Genomic DNA, 15,045 nt, shown 5'->3' with positions numbered 1-15,045 from the left:
CCTCTTCTGTTCCATTGATCTACTTGTCTGTCTTTATGTCAATTTCACATTGACTCGATTAGTGTATAGCAAGTCTTAAAACCAAGTAGTTTAAGTTCTTCAGCCTTGTTCTTTTTTAGGATTATTTTGGCTATTCAAATTTCCATATAAATTTTAGAATCAACTTGTCAATTTCTTCAAAAAAATCCTGCTAGTGATTTAGATTAGATTGCATTGAATTTGTAGTTCGATTTGGGAAGAACTGCTATTTTAACAATATTGAGTCTTCCAATCCAAGAATATGAATTTCTCTACATTTCTACATTTCTTTAGATCTTTTTTTCTCAGCAATGTTTTATAGTTCAGTGTGCAAATCTTGCATATTTTTGTTAAACTTGTCCTGTTTTATATCTTCAATGCAATTGTTTTAAGAGATACTGTTTTCTAATTTGTTTCCAATTTTTTATTACTAGCACATCAACTATAGATTTTAAATTGACCTTGTATCCTACAAACTTGCTAAGCTCAATATTAGTTCCAGTAGCTTTTTTCGTTAAGTCCAATGAAGACAGTTTTCAACAAAGATGAATAATCATGTCATCCAAGAATAAACAGGTTTACTTCCTTTTCAATCTGCCTTTTATTTCTTTTCTTATTATATTACCCTAACTAGAACCTGCAGTACTATGTTGAATAGAAGTGGTGGAAGCAGACATCCTTTCCTTGTTCCAAATCTTAAGGAGAAAGCATCAATCATTCACCATAAAGTCAGTTTGTGGCTGTTTCTATCTTCTGAAATAGATTATAGAGAATTGTTGTAATTTCTTCCTTAAATGTTTGGTGTAAAATTCACCAGTGAAACCATGGACCTGGTGCTTTTTGTTTTTGGAAGGCTATTATTTATTCAAGTTATTTAATAGATATAGGCCTATTCAGATTGTCCATTTCTTCTCGTGTGAGTTTTGGCAGATTGTGTCTTTCAAGGAATTGGTTTATTTCATCCAGGTTATCAAATTTGTGGACATAGAATTCATAGTATTCCTTTATTATCATTTTAATGTCCGTCGGATCTGTAGTAATGTTCCTTATTTCACTTTTGATATTAGTTATTTGCGTTCTCTTTTCTTGCCTGGTTAGAGGCTTATTGATTTTATCAATGTTTTCAAAGAACCAGCTTTTGTTTTCATTGATTTTTCTTTGTTGCTTTCCTGTTTTCAATTTCACAGGTTTCTGCTTTAATTTTTATTATTTCTTCTCTTCTGCTTACTTTGGATTTTCTTTTTATTTCTTTTTATTTATTTATTTTTGAGACACAGTCTCACTCTGTCGCCCAGGCTGGAGTGCAGTGGTGCGATCTCGGCTCACTGCAACCTCCGCCTCCTGGGTTGAAGCGATTCTCCTGCCTCAGCCTCCCGAGTAGCTGGGACTGCAGGCGCCCGCCACCACGCCCGGCTAATTTTTTGTATTTTTAGTAGAGACGGGGTTTCACCGTGTTAGCCAGGATGGTCTCGATCTCCTGACTCGCCATCTGCCCGCCTTGGCCTCCCAAACTGCTGGGATTACAGGCGTGAGCCGCCCAGCATCTTTTTTTTTTTTTTTTTTTTTTTGAGTCGGAGTCTTGCTCTGTCGCCCGGGCTGCAGTGCAGTGGCGCGATCTCAGTTCACTGCAAGCTCCACCTCCCGGGTTCAGGCAGTTCTGCCTCAGCCTCCCGAGTAGCCGGGACTACGGGCGCGCACCACCACGCCCTGCTAATTTTTGTTTTTAGTAGAGGCGGGATTTCGCCGTATTGGCCAGGCTGATTTCAAACGCCTGACCTCAGGTGATCCGCCCGCCTCGGCCTCCCGAAGTGCTGGGATTACAGGCTGAGGCACGGTACGGGGACCTCATCTGCATCAGTACGGGTGTAATCAATGATGACCTGCCTCTTAATTTATCAGGTGGCAAACTGAGGCTGTGGGCACTGAAAGAGACCTAGCATTTTCTAGGGCACCGCTCTCCTGGGTACGCTGGCGACAACCAGCGGCCTCGGCTTGGGAGCTGAGCCACTGGCCGGAATCTGCCGCTGAGCGAATGCACTCGCTCAGACCCGACTTCTCCCTCTAGGGCGCGGCTCCCGGGCAGGTCCCTTCACGAGTCTTCCATCCGAGCAGAGCAGGGTCCCGCGGAGGCGCCGACCGGGCGCGAGGCCTCCTGCCTGCCCAGGTTCCCCGGCGACCCTGAGCGAACCCTCTCGGGGTCAGCTCCGTCTAGGCTGAGAAGGGAACGGCGGAAGGCGGAGTGCGCCCCCGGGAGCCCGGAGCTGGGACTGCAGCTCCCATGGGGCCAAGTTCACGGGGTGCGGCCGCGCGGCCAATGAGCGCCCTCTATGCCCTGACGGTGCCCCGCCTCGCGGCGCTGCCGCGCTCCCGCCCTCCCGCCCTCCCGCCGCGCGCTCGGGATCCCGACCAGTCCTGACCGCACGGGGGCCGCGGCCACGGGGCGCAGGGGCCATGGTGCGCGGCAGGATCTCCCGGCTCTCGGTCCGGGACGTGCGCTTCCCCACGTCGCTTGGGGGCCACGGCGCGGACGCCATGGTAAGCGCGGACGCCATGGTAAGCGCGGACGCCATGGTAAGCGCGGACGCCATGGTAAGCGCGGACGCCATGGTAAGCGCGGACGCCATGGTAAGCGCGGACGCCATGGTAAGCGCGGACGCCATGGTAAGCGCGGACGCCATGGTACGCGCGGCTTGCGGCCCGGGTCCCTCCCGCCCCGCCGACTGCAGCTCTGCGGGCCCCGGGCAGCTTCCCGACTTCGAACCCATTGCTTCTGTAAAGTGGGAGGCGCGCCTGGGGGAGACACTCGCTTTTCATGCCTTGGAGCAATTGTATAAGTATCCAGAAACTTTCCACTCTCCTGGGTTTTTTCTTTGCTGGAGTTTAGAATATCCTGGTTTTACTTTTACGACTCACATTTTGCTGGAAATGGTAGAATGCATAATAGGCAATAGCAGCAAAATGATTTTGTTGGGTTCCCGCCAGTGGAAACCCTAGAGCACAGCGCTCGCTGGCTTCCTCTGTACCCTGAACGCGACGGGGTTGGCGCTGAGGGAGAACGGGAAGCCCGGGGCTGGGAGTTTTGAGTGGTGATCCCGCTTCCACAACTTGCTGTGTGACTTGGAGAAGTTCCAGACCTCTCTGGGTCTCTTGGACCCGTCTGTGTAATGAAGGTGTCACAGTCGGGTTGAGAAACCAAGCGCGTGCTAACTGCGTCACATGAGAGGGCGCTCTCGTGAAATTACCCGCAAACACGCTTAGAAAGGACTGATGCAAATGTCAGTTCGTCTTAAGAGATGTAATAAAGTAAGGGCAGGAACTCTGACTCCTACCTAAATATTGAAGGTCTTTTTTGCTTACTGAGGGTGTTAGAATGTCAGGCCTTCCCTCCCCTGCCCCCGTCTAGAGCGGTGTTTCCCAAATACAGTGGGTTCTGTGCAGGGTTTTCAGGGAGCCTGTTCCCCACTGGGTCCTCACTGCCCCTCGTAGTCCACTGATGAGATTGGCCGCGCTAGAAAAGCAGAGTTGTATGGGTATGTAGTGAATGTGTGAAAGTATGCTGGGAAGTGAGGAACGGCAATGTTAGGAAAATGGTTACCAGTAGGGAGGGAAGGAAATGGGGTCACGGAGGGGACCACGAGGTCTCTAATTCCCATTGTAATGTTTTACTTCCTAAATTGGGTGGATGGCAAGCTGGTGTCCATTACATTATCTATACTCTTTTTGTACCTGAAATGTTTTATAAAAATAGATCTCTCGTTAAAGTTATTAAATGCAAAACAATGTCCTTTTTGAGATTAAGTTCATCCTGCATTTTTAAATTTTTATTTTATTCTATTTTATGTTTTAAATTTATTTATTTATTTATTTTGAGGCAGGGTCTCTTATCTGTTGCCCAAGCTGGAGTGCAGTGGTACTATCATGGCTCACAGCAGCCTTGACCTCCCTGACTCAACCAATCCTCCCACCTCAGCCTCCCAAGTAGCTGGGACTACAGGTGTGCACCATGATGCCCAGCTACTTTCTGTATTTTTTGTAGAGACAGGGCCCAGGCTGTCATCCTCTTTAAAATCTTCATGTTTCCTTTCTTACATGATGTTGGTAAATAACTTAAACACCCAGCAGGCAATCCTTTATGGAACTCAAAATAAATGTTGGAAATTTTACTGGCTTATAGAATCCAAACACTCGATCTCATGCAACTGCCTTTGCCTCTGTGAAGCTTTAGCAGCTGTGGCTAAGTCACACAATCTTTCTAAGCCTAGGTTTCTCATCTGTAAAATGGGTATAATAATATTCACTTTATACATGTAAATGAGATACCTGTAAAGAGCCTGGCTCAGAGAAGGCCGTCAGTAAAGTTGGCTATAGGCCAGGCATGAGGGCTCACACCTCTAATCCTAAGTGGAGGCCTAGGCAGGGGGATCACTTGAGCCCAGGAATTCAATTACATGAGCTATGATCATGCCACTGCATTCCAGCCTGGGCACTGGATGACACAGTGAGACCCTGTTTCTAAAGAAAAAAGGAGGGGTGGCTGTAATTACTATTCACTCTGAGGAAACTGAAGCAGAAGGAATCCCTAATCTAGACTTGACTTTGAATTTGTGAAATGTTAAGACAGCCTGGTTTGGCTGAGCGTGGTGGTTCAAGCCTATAATCCCAGCACTTTGGAAGGCCAAGGCAGGTGGATCGCTTGAGCCCAGGAGTTCGAGACCAGCCTGAGCAACATAGTGAGACCTCGTCTCAACAAAAAAATACAAAAATTAGCTGGGCGTAGTTGCATGCACCTGTGGTCCCAGCCACTCAGGAGGCTGAGGTGGGAGGATCTCTTGAGTCCAGGAGGTCGAGGCTGCAGTGAGCTGTAATTGTGTCACTGCACTCCAGCCTGGGTGAGAGAGAGAGACCCTGTCTCAAAAGACAGCCTGGTTTACTGTAGAATAATTCAAGAAATGGAATTTGCCTCTGGGCCTGAGTGATGTCTAACACAGGGTAAGGAGACATTATCTAACACCTGTATTGCAAGCTCATAAATACTTAAGCATTTTATCTTGGGGAGATAGGGTGTATGTTGTGTGCCAGCTCTCAAGTGCCTTCTTATTAGAATGAGCTGTTTTGCAGTTCACCATGGAGATGGCTTCACATGCCCTCGAGGCATGCTGGACCATCAGCACTTAGCAAAGTGAGCCTCCCTGATCAGAAGTAGGATATTTTCAAGAAAGAGCAATAAAGCTGTCCTCAAAATCTGCTAAAGACTCCTGCTTTTTTTTTTTAGACAGAGTCTCGCTTGTTGCCCAGCCTGGAGTGCAGTGGTGCAATCTCATCTCACTGCAACCTCTGCCTCCCATATGCAAATGATTCTCGTACCTCAGCCTCTGGAGTAGCTGTGATTACAGGTGTGCACCACCACACCTGGCTAATTTTTGTATTTTTGGTAGAGACGGGGTTTCACCATGTTGTCCAGGCTGGTCTCGAACTCCTGAGCTCAGGTGATCCACCTGCCTCGGCCTCCCAAAGTGCCGGATTACAGGCATGAGCCACTACTCCGGGCTTACCTCCTTCTTAATCTGAAATCTACTTCTGTTCCTTTCTTCTCTGTGAATTGCCCTTGTTATTTCTCCTTCAGCTGTCCTTACCCTCAGATACGTTTTCCGCTGTCGGCTGCCTCTTCTTCGTGTGCTCTCTCCCCTCGTGGCCTCCTGCCTTTCTGACAGCTCCTTCTTCCTCCACTGGCCCCTTCTTCCCTCTCTGAGGCTCAGGCCTCAGTGTCTTTCCGGTCTCCCTACACACTCCCATGAAGACCCTCTCCGCATTCTGACTTCGGTGCCACCCTTTATGCCGGAGACTCCCAGATCTCATTTCCGGATCTGCCTCCTTAACTTATAGGTCTGGATACTTCCTGTTTGGTTTTTCACCTTCATGCTAAACGCAGTTTGTCTAAATCGGAAGTCAACTTCCATTCTCTGCCGCCCCTCCCTCCTGACCCATGTTGGATCATTCCGCTAATCACAGGGACCCAAAAGCTTCGAGTCACTTTTGGCTCATCTCGTCCTGTTGACCCTCATCTGAGGCTTCAGTGCAAGGTTTCCTTTTTCCATTGCTTCCTCTTCTTGGAACCCAGAAACTGCCGATGGGTCTTTAATTCTTGGAGTCTCCTTCTCAGCCTCATCGCTCAACTCCTTCAGGAACCCAATGGCTCAGCCAACCCAGGTGGGCACCAACACTTGAATACACTCCAGTCTCTCCCTCTTCTGACCCCTTTACTTTCTGCACTGCTGCTGCTGCTACCTTGCCTGAGATATTCCTCCCTCCCAGACTCTTCACTCCCCTTGCCACTGCTGAGGAGCTCCCCTTCCTTGACCGGCCAGCTCACATTCTGTCTTCATCATAAAGCGCTCTCCCTCTTCAAGAAGCACATTCAGCTAACAGCGCTCTCTGCCAGTCGTTCATAGTTTGCATCCCTCCCAGGCCTTAGCATTTTCTGCCTTATATTATTAAGGTTTTTTTTTAACCATGTCTTTTTATTTATTTATTTTAGAGATGGGGTCTCGCTTTGTTGCCCAGGCTAGTCTCGAACTCCTGGGCTCAAACAATCCTCCTGTCTTGGCCTCCCAAAGTGTTGGGATTACAGGTATGAGCCAGCATGCCCGTTCTATAAGCAGGTCTTCTCAAATGTAACCTCCTCAAGGGCAGACGTATCTGTAACCCCCTAGCAAGCTGCACCAGCTCTGACACGTACTTGATGCTCAGCGATGCATCACACTGATTTCCTGCCACTGGACTGTGATACCAGACTCAGGGCTCCCAGCCATCACATACAGCTCCCTCAGCCACGACACCCCAATACAGGGATTTAAAATCTGCCTTCATAATTTACTTGTGGCCGGGCGTGGTGGCTCACACCTGTAATCCTAGCACTTTGGGAGGCCGAGGCAAGTGGATCACCTGAGGTCAGGAGTTCAAGACCAGCCTGGCCAACATGGCAAAATCCCATCTTTACTAAAAAAAAAAAAAAAAAGCTGGTCATAGTGGTGGGTGCCTGTAATCCCAGCTACTTGGGAGGCTGAGGCAGAAGAATCGCTTGAATCCAGGAGGCAGAGGTTGCAGTGAGCCAAGATCATGCCACTGCACTCCAGCCTGGAGAACAGAGTGAGAGTCAGTCTCAAAAATAATAATAATAATAATAATAAAACATTATTTACTTGTGGTGTGACCTTTTGTAAATTACTAAAGCTCCTTAAAACTTCATTTCCTCTTTAATAAGGATAAGAGCACCTACTTTATAATATTGTTATAAGATTAAATTAAACCATGTGGAGCTCTTAGAATATAGTGTGTCTGGCACAATAAATATTATAGAATAATAACAGTAATAAATTTTCATAGCCTTATGCACAATTCTTCTTTATGAATGCATTCACATCTTCTGCCTGGCTTTTTGGAGTCTCCATTATTCCATGACATAGAACAAAACAAAAAATTAGTGAATTAATCTCGAAGCTTTACTTCTTCATTTTCCCCCACTGGTGTCTGAACTTTTGCCAATGTATTTTCAGCCCTGCTATAAACTGCTATAAGTGAGATCACTCCAATTTTATGCAACAGTTTTCTGAACCTTTGGCTTGTTCAATTTGAAGCTGCTTGTGAATGTAACTTTGTTCAAAAAGCTGACAGAGATAGCTGCGAGTGAAAACTCCTTGGCTTAAAATTGAGCCCCTTCCGGGCATGATGGCTCATGCCTGTAATCCCAGCACTTTAAGAGGCCCAAGCGGGTGGATCACTAGAGCTCTGGAGTTTGAGACCAGCCTGGGTAACATGCAAGACTCCATCTCTATTTTTTTATTTAAAAAATAAATAAGTAAATAAAATTGAGCCTCATTTTTTAACCTAATTGAAAATGGGTGATAAAAATGTATACATTGCGACCAGGTGCGGTGGCTCACACTTGTAATCCCAGCACTTTGGGAGGCCAAGGCAGGTGGATCACCTGAGGTCAGGAGTTCAAGACCAGCCTGGCCAACATGGTGAAACTTCGTCTCTATTAAAAATACAAAAATCAGCCAAGTGTGGTGGCACGTGCCTGTAATCCCAGCTACCCGGGAGGCTGAGGCAGGAGAATCGCTTGAACTTGGGAGGCTGCAGTTGCAGTGAGCTGAGATCGCACCATTGCACTCCTGCCTAGGTGACAGAGCAAGACTCTGTCTCAAAAAAGAAAAAAAAAAAAAATATATATATATATACATACATTGCTCTTGTTGAAACATTTTGGATCTTTCAGGAGGACATTCCTTTTCTCCATTCAGAGCCCTTTGTTTTCTTTGGGGTATAGCAACAGTTCCTTCTATGGGAGCTCTTGTGGCACGGCCCCTGTGGCATTGTCTGTCCTCATGTGACATCATTCTCATGGTTCTTTTCGGGTTTCTCACACTGGCATTGTTTCGGCGGGGAACTCTTCTCCTGCAGCACACGGACCCTGACTACTCGGCTGCCTATGTCGTCATAGAAACTGATGCAGAAGATGGAATCAAGGGGTGTGGAATTACCTTCACTCTGGGAAAAGGCACTGAAGTTGGTGAGTTGAAGATTCTCTCGAGGTTCCAGAATGCTTAATTTTCAGATGAGATTCTAATTTAGATTCTTAGATTCATTAGAATCTTGATTTAGATTGAGTTCTGATCTTGTTTTTATCTGTATTTACACTGCTCAAAGTGAGTAAAAAGTTTCATGGTTTGTTACTTGTTTCACTGGGAGAAATTTAAAAGTGACAGAATTTGGCCTCTCTCCTTGCAATCATCTCTAGCCTGTTAGAAAATCCTTGGCTGTTAGTCTGTTTCTCTGTGTCAAATGACAGCTACAAGGATGCTTTTCACCTGCCTTTCACCCGGGGCCACTGTCGAGCTTTGACAACCTGTAGTGGGCGAGTAACCAAGGGCAATGAGAGGGAGGAGACATGAGTTCCCATAGCAAAAAAGGCTCATTGTGATGTGCACAGCACGTCTACTCGCTTTTCAATATATATATGTATATATTTTTGAGACAGAGTCTCACTCTGTCGCCCAGGCTGGAGTGCAGTGGCACAATCTCAGCTCACTGCAACCTCTGCCTCCTGGGTTCAAGCAATTCTCCTGCCTCAGCCTCCCGAGAAGCTAGGATTACAGGCTCCCACCACCATGCCCAGCCAATTTTTGTATTTTTAGTAGAGACAGGGTTTCACCATGTTGACCAGGCTGGTCTCGAACTCCTGACCTCAAATGATCCGCCTGTCTCAGCCTCGCAAAGTGCTGGGATTACAGGTGTGAGCCATCACACCCGGCCTTTTCAAAATATTTCACACCAAATCGGTTTCCAGTTCACTATTTTCATGGCGAAAAGGGCTTTGGCCCCGCCCAATCTCGGAGGTCTCCCTTGGGGAAGAGCAGATTCTTTAAGATGCATACTGAGCCATGTATACGTCATTCTTTTTTTATTTGCATTTTCTATTTTCTTAAACAGAAGACACAGAACATAACTTTTTTCAGAGCTGGATGTGATCTCAAATGGTGATCTTGAGCCGTCTCATTTTTTAGAGAGAAGAAAACTGAGGCACAGACAGCTACCCAGCAAGTCATGGCAGAACCACCTGACTGCCCAGAGCACTTTCTCTTCAGAACTTTTAAATGCAACTCTTTTTGAATACATAATACTTACACATGGTACAAAATTCAAGAAGTCCAAAACAGTGGCCTTCGCCAGATCAATTTCAGTGGATTATTAGAGCCTGAAGCCAAATTATGATAGATTGAAGGGTAAGGGTCTAGAAGGAGGGAAAAGAGTTTCTCTAACTTCGGTGGTAGTGTGATACCTCTCCCTTGGATATTTGCACCATCAGCGCTCTCAGTAGTTGTAGAAAAAAATCTTGGCCCATTGAGAGATTTTAAATTGTTAAGCATATAAAAGAAGTGTGTGAGTTTGTGAGTGTGTGTATGTGCGAATGGCAAGGGAACCTTCCTTGAACTTTCAATGGACACTGCCCAGGTGGCTGCTGTTACTGCTCTTCACAGGGCTGGCGGTCAGTTGTCCAGCAAGTCAGTCCTTCTGCAGACTTCTGAGTGCTGCCATGTATCAGGCACCAAAGTAATTTTAAAAAGAGAAAGATAGGCCAGGCGTGGTGATTCAGGCCTGTAATCCCAGCACTTTGGGAGGCTGAGGCGGGCAGATTGCTTGAGTCAAGCAGTTCAAGACCAGCCTGGTCAACATGGTGAAACCCTGTCTTTACTAAAAATACAAAAATTACCTGGCCGTGGTGATGCATGGCTGTAATCTCAGCTACTCAGGAGGCTGAAGCACGAGAATTGCTTGAACCTGGGAGTTGGAGTTTGCAGTGAGCCGAGATTGCGCCGCTGCACTCCAGCCTGGGTGAAAAAGCGAGACTCCATCCCAAAAAAAAAAAGAAAAAAGATACAGAAGACAGAATCCCACATACAAGGAGCACACGAACTTATTGGGGAAGTAGACATAAAAGAAATGATCATAGTGCAGTCTGAGAATTACTGTTTTTTAAAACTATGTACAAGTTTTACAGAGAGAGGATATATTAGGCTGTTCTTTTTTTTTTTTTTTTTCTTTTCTTTTTGGAAACAAGAGTCTTGCTCTGTTGCCCAGCCTGGAGTGCAGTGGCGCAATCTCGCTCACTACAACCTCCACCTCCCGGGTTCAAGCAATTCTTATGCCTCAGCCTCCCGAGTAGCTGGGATTACAGGCACACACCACCACGCCCGGCTAGTTTTTATATTTTTAGTAAAGATGAGGTTTCACCATGTTTGGTCAGGCCGGTCTCCTGACTTCAAATGATCTGCCCACCTTGGCCTCTCAAAGTGCTAAGATTATAGGCATGAACCACCACTCTGAGCCAGGCTATTTTTGCATTGCTATAAAGGAGTACGAGAGACTGGATAATTTATAAAGAAAAAGAGGTTTAATTGCCTCATGGTTCTGCAGGTTTTACAGAAAGCATGATGCCAGCTACTCAGCTTCTAGGGAGGCTTCAGGACACTTACAATCATGGTAGAAGGTGAAGGGGGAGCAGGCACGTCCTATGTCGAAAGGATCAAGAGAAAGGGAATGGGGAGGTGCTACACACTTTTAAGTCACCAGATCTCACGAGAACTCACTCACTATCTCAAAGACAGTACCAATGGGATAGTGCTAAACCATTCAGGAGAAATCCACCTCCAAGATCTAATAATCACCTCCCACCAGGCCCCACCTCCAACACTGCGGATTACACTTCAACATGAAATTTGTGCAGAATGTCTAAACCATCTCAGGGGGTAACTTCACTCTGTCCAAAAGGCTCAGGGAAGGCTTCAGAGCAGAAGTAATGCTTTGAGGTGAGTCTCGAAGAGCAAACAGGAATTTGCCAGGCAGAGAAAGACCATGCTGTGAGTCAGTCCCGCTTTTCTCCATTAAGTAAACAATTTACTGTTAAAGTTTTCCCCAGAGTAGTAACCACTTACTAAGACAGAGCTGTGAGCTGTTTCTGCTTCTTCTGCAACTCTAATTGTCCCTTGTTTGTAAGTTGAGTACTTTATGAAGCCGCTGCCTTTCTCCATACTGCAAACCCTACAGCACAGCCCCCAAAGGTTGCATAAAACTCAGCGAGCTTACAAGATAATGTTAGGCCATTGGACCCACTCTCTGTTAACAGCCCAGACTTTAAACTTTGCTGACTTGGGCACACGTGGAGGGGCCCTGGGCACTAAGATAGATAAGAAGCCCTTCTGGGATGGGTGCTGAGCTCAGTGTTTAGGGCCTTCACTTCCCCTCTCCTCCTCCATTCCCAGCCCCACACCGCTGTCTTGGTGGATGTCTCAGGCACGGATAAATCAACTTCCATCTCTCCATGACTTTAATTAATGACTCTTTTGTGCTAAGGGTTTTGGCTTCCTCCTTTTTCAGACCACAACATGACAGAACCCATTTTAACTTTAACCTTGCTACATATTTCAGGTGACTCACTGCAGTCTCACTAAATGTGTTACACAGCACTCACACTAAAGATGAAAAATTCCATTAGCTCATCCTGGTTCTTCTGCTTACTTACCTAATCATCTGTTTATGATTTAAAAAAATAGGGTTACTGTGAAGAGAGTGCTTGTGTGTGAGACAGAGAGGGAGGGTTGTTTTTCAAATGTATAGAATATACCAATGTAGTTTTTGGTTGGGTATTTTTTTAAATCATGACTTTATTAAATTTACTTAATTAATATTCATTTTTATCCTTTTTTTATGTTTTTAAAGTTTTTATTATTTATTAATTTATTTGAGATAAGGTCTTGCTCTGTCACCCAGGCTGGAGTGCAGTGGTGCAATCACGGCTCATACAGCCTTGACCTTCCAGACTCAAATGATTGTCCCACCTCACCTTCCCGAGTAGCTGGGCCCACAGGCACAAGCCACCATGCCTAGCTAATGTTTCTTTTTTTTGAGAGACAGAGTCTCGCTCTGTTGCCCAGGCTGGAGTGGAGTGGCACATTCTTGGCTCACTGCAGCCTCCACCTCCAAGGTTCAAACGATTCTCCTGCCTCAGTTTCCCAAGTAGCTGGGACTACAGATGTGTGCCACCATGCCCAGCTAATTTTTGTATTTTTAGGAGAGACAGGGTTTCACTATATGTTGGCCAGGCTGGTCTCAAACTCCTGACCTCAGGTGATCCACCCACTTTGGCCTCCCAAAGTGGTAGGATTGCAGATGTAAGCCACCACACCTGACCTGGGTTTTTTTTTTTTTTTTTTTTTTGAGATGTAGTTTCGCTCTTGTTGCCCAGGCTGGAGTGCAGTAGCACAATCTCTGCTCACTGCAACAACAACCTCCCAGGTTCAAGCGATTCTCCTGCCTCAGCCTCCCAGGTAGCTGGGACTATAGGTGCCTGCCACCATGCTGGGCTGATTTTTGTATTTTTTGTAGAGACAGGATTTCATCATTTTGCCCAGACTGGTCTTGAACTCCTGAGCTCAAGCAATCCGCCTGCCTCAGCCTCCCAAAGTGACGGGATTGCAGGCATAAGCTATAAGCCACCATGCCTGGCCTGTTTCTGTTTTTATTTATTTATTTATTTATTTATCTATGTATTTATTTATTTTTGAGATAGAGTCCCACTCTGTTGCCCAGGCTGGAGTGCAGTGGTGTGATCTCGGCTCACTGCAACCTCTGCCTCCTAGGTTCAAGCAATTCTCCTGCCTCAGCCTCCCGAGTAGCTGGGATTACAGGTGCCCACTATCACGCCAGCTAATTTTTTTTTTTTTTTGAGATGGAGTCTCGCTCTGTCACCCAGGCTGGAGTACAGTGGCGCGATCTCAGCTCACTGCAAGCTCTGCTTCCTGGGTTCACGCCATTCTCCTGCCTCAGCCTCTCCAGTAGCTGGACTACAGGCACCTGCCACCACGCCCGGCTAATTTTTTTTTTATTTTTAGTAGAGATGGGGTTTCACCATGTTAGCCAGGATGGTCTCGAACTCCTGACCTCAGGTGATCCACCCGCCTTGACCTCCCAAAGTGCTGGGATTACAGGCGTGAGCCACCGTGGCCAGCCTTTTTTTTTTTTAAGACTTTATTTTTTTAGAGTAGTTTTAGGTTCACAGCAAAACTGAATGGAAGTTACAAAGATTTCCCACATACCCCTGTCCCCACACAGGCACAGCCTCCTTCATTATCAACATTCTGCCCAGAGTGGCCCACTTGGTACAACTGATGAACCTGCATTGGCACATCATGATCACCCAAAGTCTGTAGTTTACAATAGGGGTCACTCTTAGGTTTGGACACATGTATAATAATATGTACAATGTAGACTAAGTTAGTTTTTTAAAAAATAGAAAAAGATGTACAAAGAAAGAATTTTTAAATAGACAAAATTTTTAAAAATCCAGCCTTAAGAGTTTATGACACCACTCTTACTTCAGACACCCACAAGTCACCCACAGACTTTACTCAATGTCCTTCCAGTGCTAGAGGCTCCAGAGAATTGAAGTCCCTGAGCAGATAGAATCACAAGAGAAAACCCCCCGGGTTTAGTTGCCAAGAAGCTGCTTTCAAGGGCCTTTTTTTTCTTTTCCAAGTCAATTTCCTGCCACAGCCAAAATTTCTCTTGTTTTTTTTTTTTTTTTTTTTTTTTGAGGCAGAGTTTCGCTCTTGTCGCCCAGACTGGAGTGCGATGGCGTGATCTTGGCTGGCTCACTGCAACCTCTGCCTCCCAGGTTCAAGCGATTCTCATACCTCAGCCCCCACAAGTAGCTGGGATTACAGGCATGTGCCACCACACCCAGCTAATTTTTGTATTTTTAGTAGAGACAGGGTTTCACCATGTTGATCAGGTTGATCTCATACTCCTGACCTCAGGTGATCCGCCCGCCTCAGCCTCCCAAAGTGCTGGGATTACAGGCATGAGCCACCGTGCCTGGCCTCACAACCCAAATTTCTATTGAATGCGACAAATTCTAGTCTCCTGTTGAGCAAGAAAAATCCATACACTGTAGATGAATACATAAGTGCTGCTTGTGCACTCTGAGAGTCATAAAAATGAGATCATCCTTAGCTTTTGTTAAGTGCATTTGGTATTGTGACATGAACCAGAGGTATGCTTCAGTCAATGATTTATAGCAACAATCAAATCCTTGAGACGGTGGTTTGGTGTCGATAATAACGTACCTCACTGTGAGTCACTGACTTACTTCAGATTTTCTTTAATTCAAGAGCATCAACCTTCAAGAAGTGAGGAGGACTCTGTCTTCTCACAATTCTAGGGAATGAATGTCTGAACCAGAATGATTGTGTATCCCATTAACAAAAGCCCTAGAGAACCTGGAATGGCTGGTTCAGCCCTAAATGCTACATCTGACCTAAAGTGTGCAATCATCCGAGAGCTGTTTCACCCTTAGCCAGGCATGTGCTAAAAGCTTGGGGCATCACTTTCTTTCTTTTTCTTGAGATGGAGTTTCGCTCTTGTTGCCCAGGCTGGAGTGCAATGGCATGGTCTTGGCTCACTGCAACCTCC

The 15,045-nt window shown here is 46.0% G+C and overlaps 1 protein-coding gene across 41 annotated transcripts in view, besides 2 other annotated features; it reads left to right on the top strand.

The window, feature by feature from the left end:
- Positions 1,652 to 2,231: an enhancer, noted in NCBI's record as "H3K27ac hESC enhancer chr18:712826-713405 (GRCh37/hg19 assembly coordinates)". NCBI's record gives its function as "activates a minimal SCP1, AML or CMV promoter by ChIP-STARR-seq in primed H9 embryonic stem cells {active_cell/tissue: H9 hESC(primed)}" and the evidence as "EXISTENCE:reporter gene assay evidence [ECO:0000049][PMID:30033119]".
- Positions 2,183 to 2,502: a silencer, noted in NCBI's record as "silent region_9242". NCBI's record gives its function as "represses an Ori minimal core promoter by ATAC-STARR-seq in GM12878 lymphoblastoid cells {active_cell/tissue: GM12878}" and the evidence as "EXISTENCE:reporter gene assay evidence [ECO:0000049][PMID:35858748]".
- Positions 2,427 to 15,045, top strand: part of ENOSF1 (enolase superfamily member 1) — a 49,645-nt gene continuing 37,026 nt past the window's right edge. For 21 of the 41 annotated variants that reach the window (XR_007066190.1, NR_148711.2, NR_148706.2 and 18 more), the window contains exons 1-2: positions 2,427 to 2,553; positions 8,479 to 8,587. Coding sequence is in view for 20 of the 41 variants with exons in the window: in NM_001439137.1 (NP_001426066.1) it covers positions 2,470 to 2,553; positions 8,479 to 8,587 (193 nt within the window). In the remaining 21 variants the exon portion in view is untranslated. Of the gene's footprint in view, positions 2,698 to 8,478; positions 8,588 to 15,045 lie in introns of all 41 variants that reach the window. The other 20 variants (XR_007066187.1, XR_430041.5, XR_007066181.1 and 17 more) reach the window with 2 other exon arrangements.

Source organism: Homo sapiens, chromosome 18, assembly GCF_000001405.40.
Source record: "Homo sapiens chromosome 18, GRCh38.p14 Primary Assembly".
Classification (NCBI taxonomy): domain Eukaryota; kingdom Metazoa; phylum Chordata; class Mammalia; order Primates; family Hominidae; genus Homo; species Homo sapiens.
This window is presented reverse-complemented; position numbering and strand designations above follow the sequence as displayed.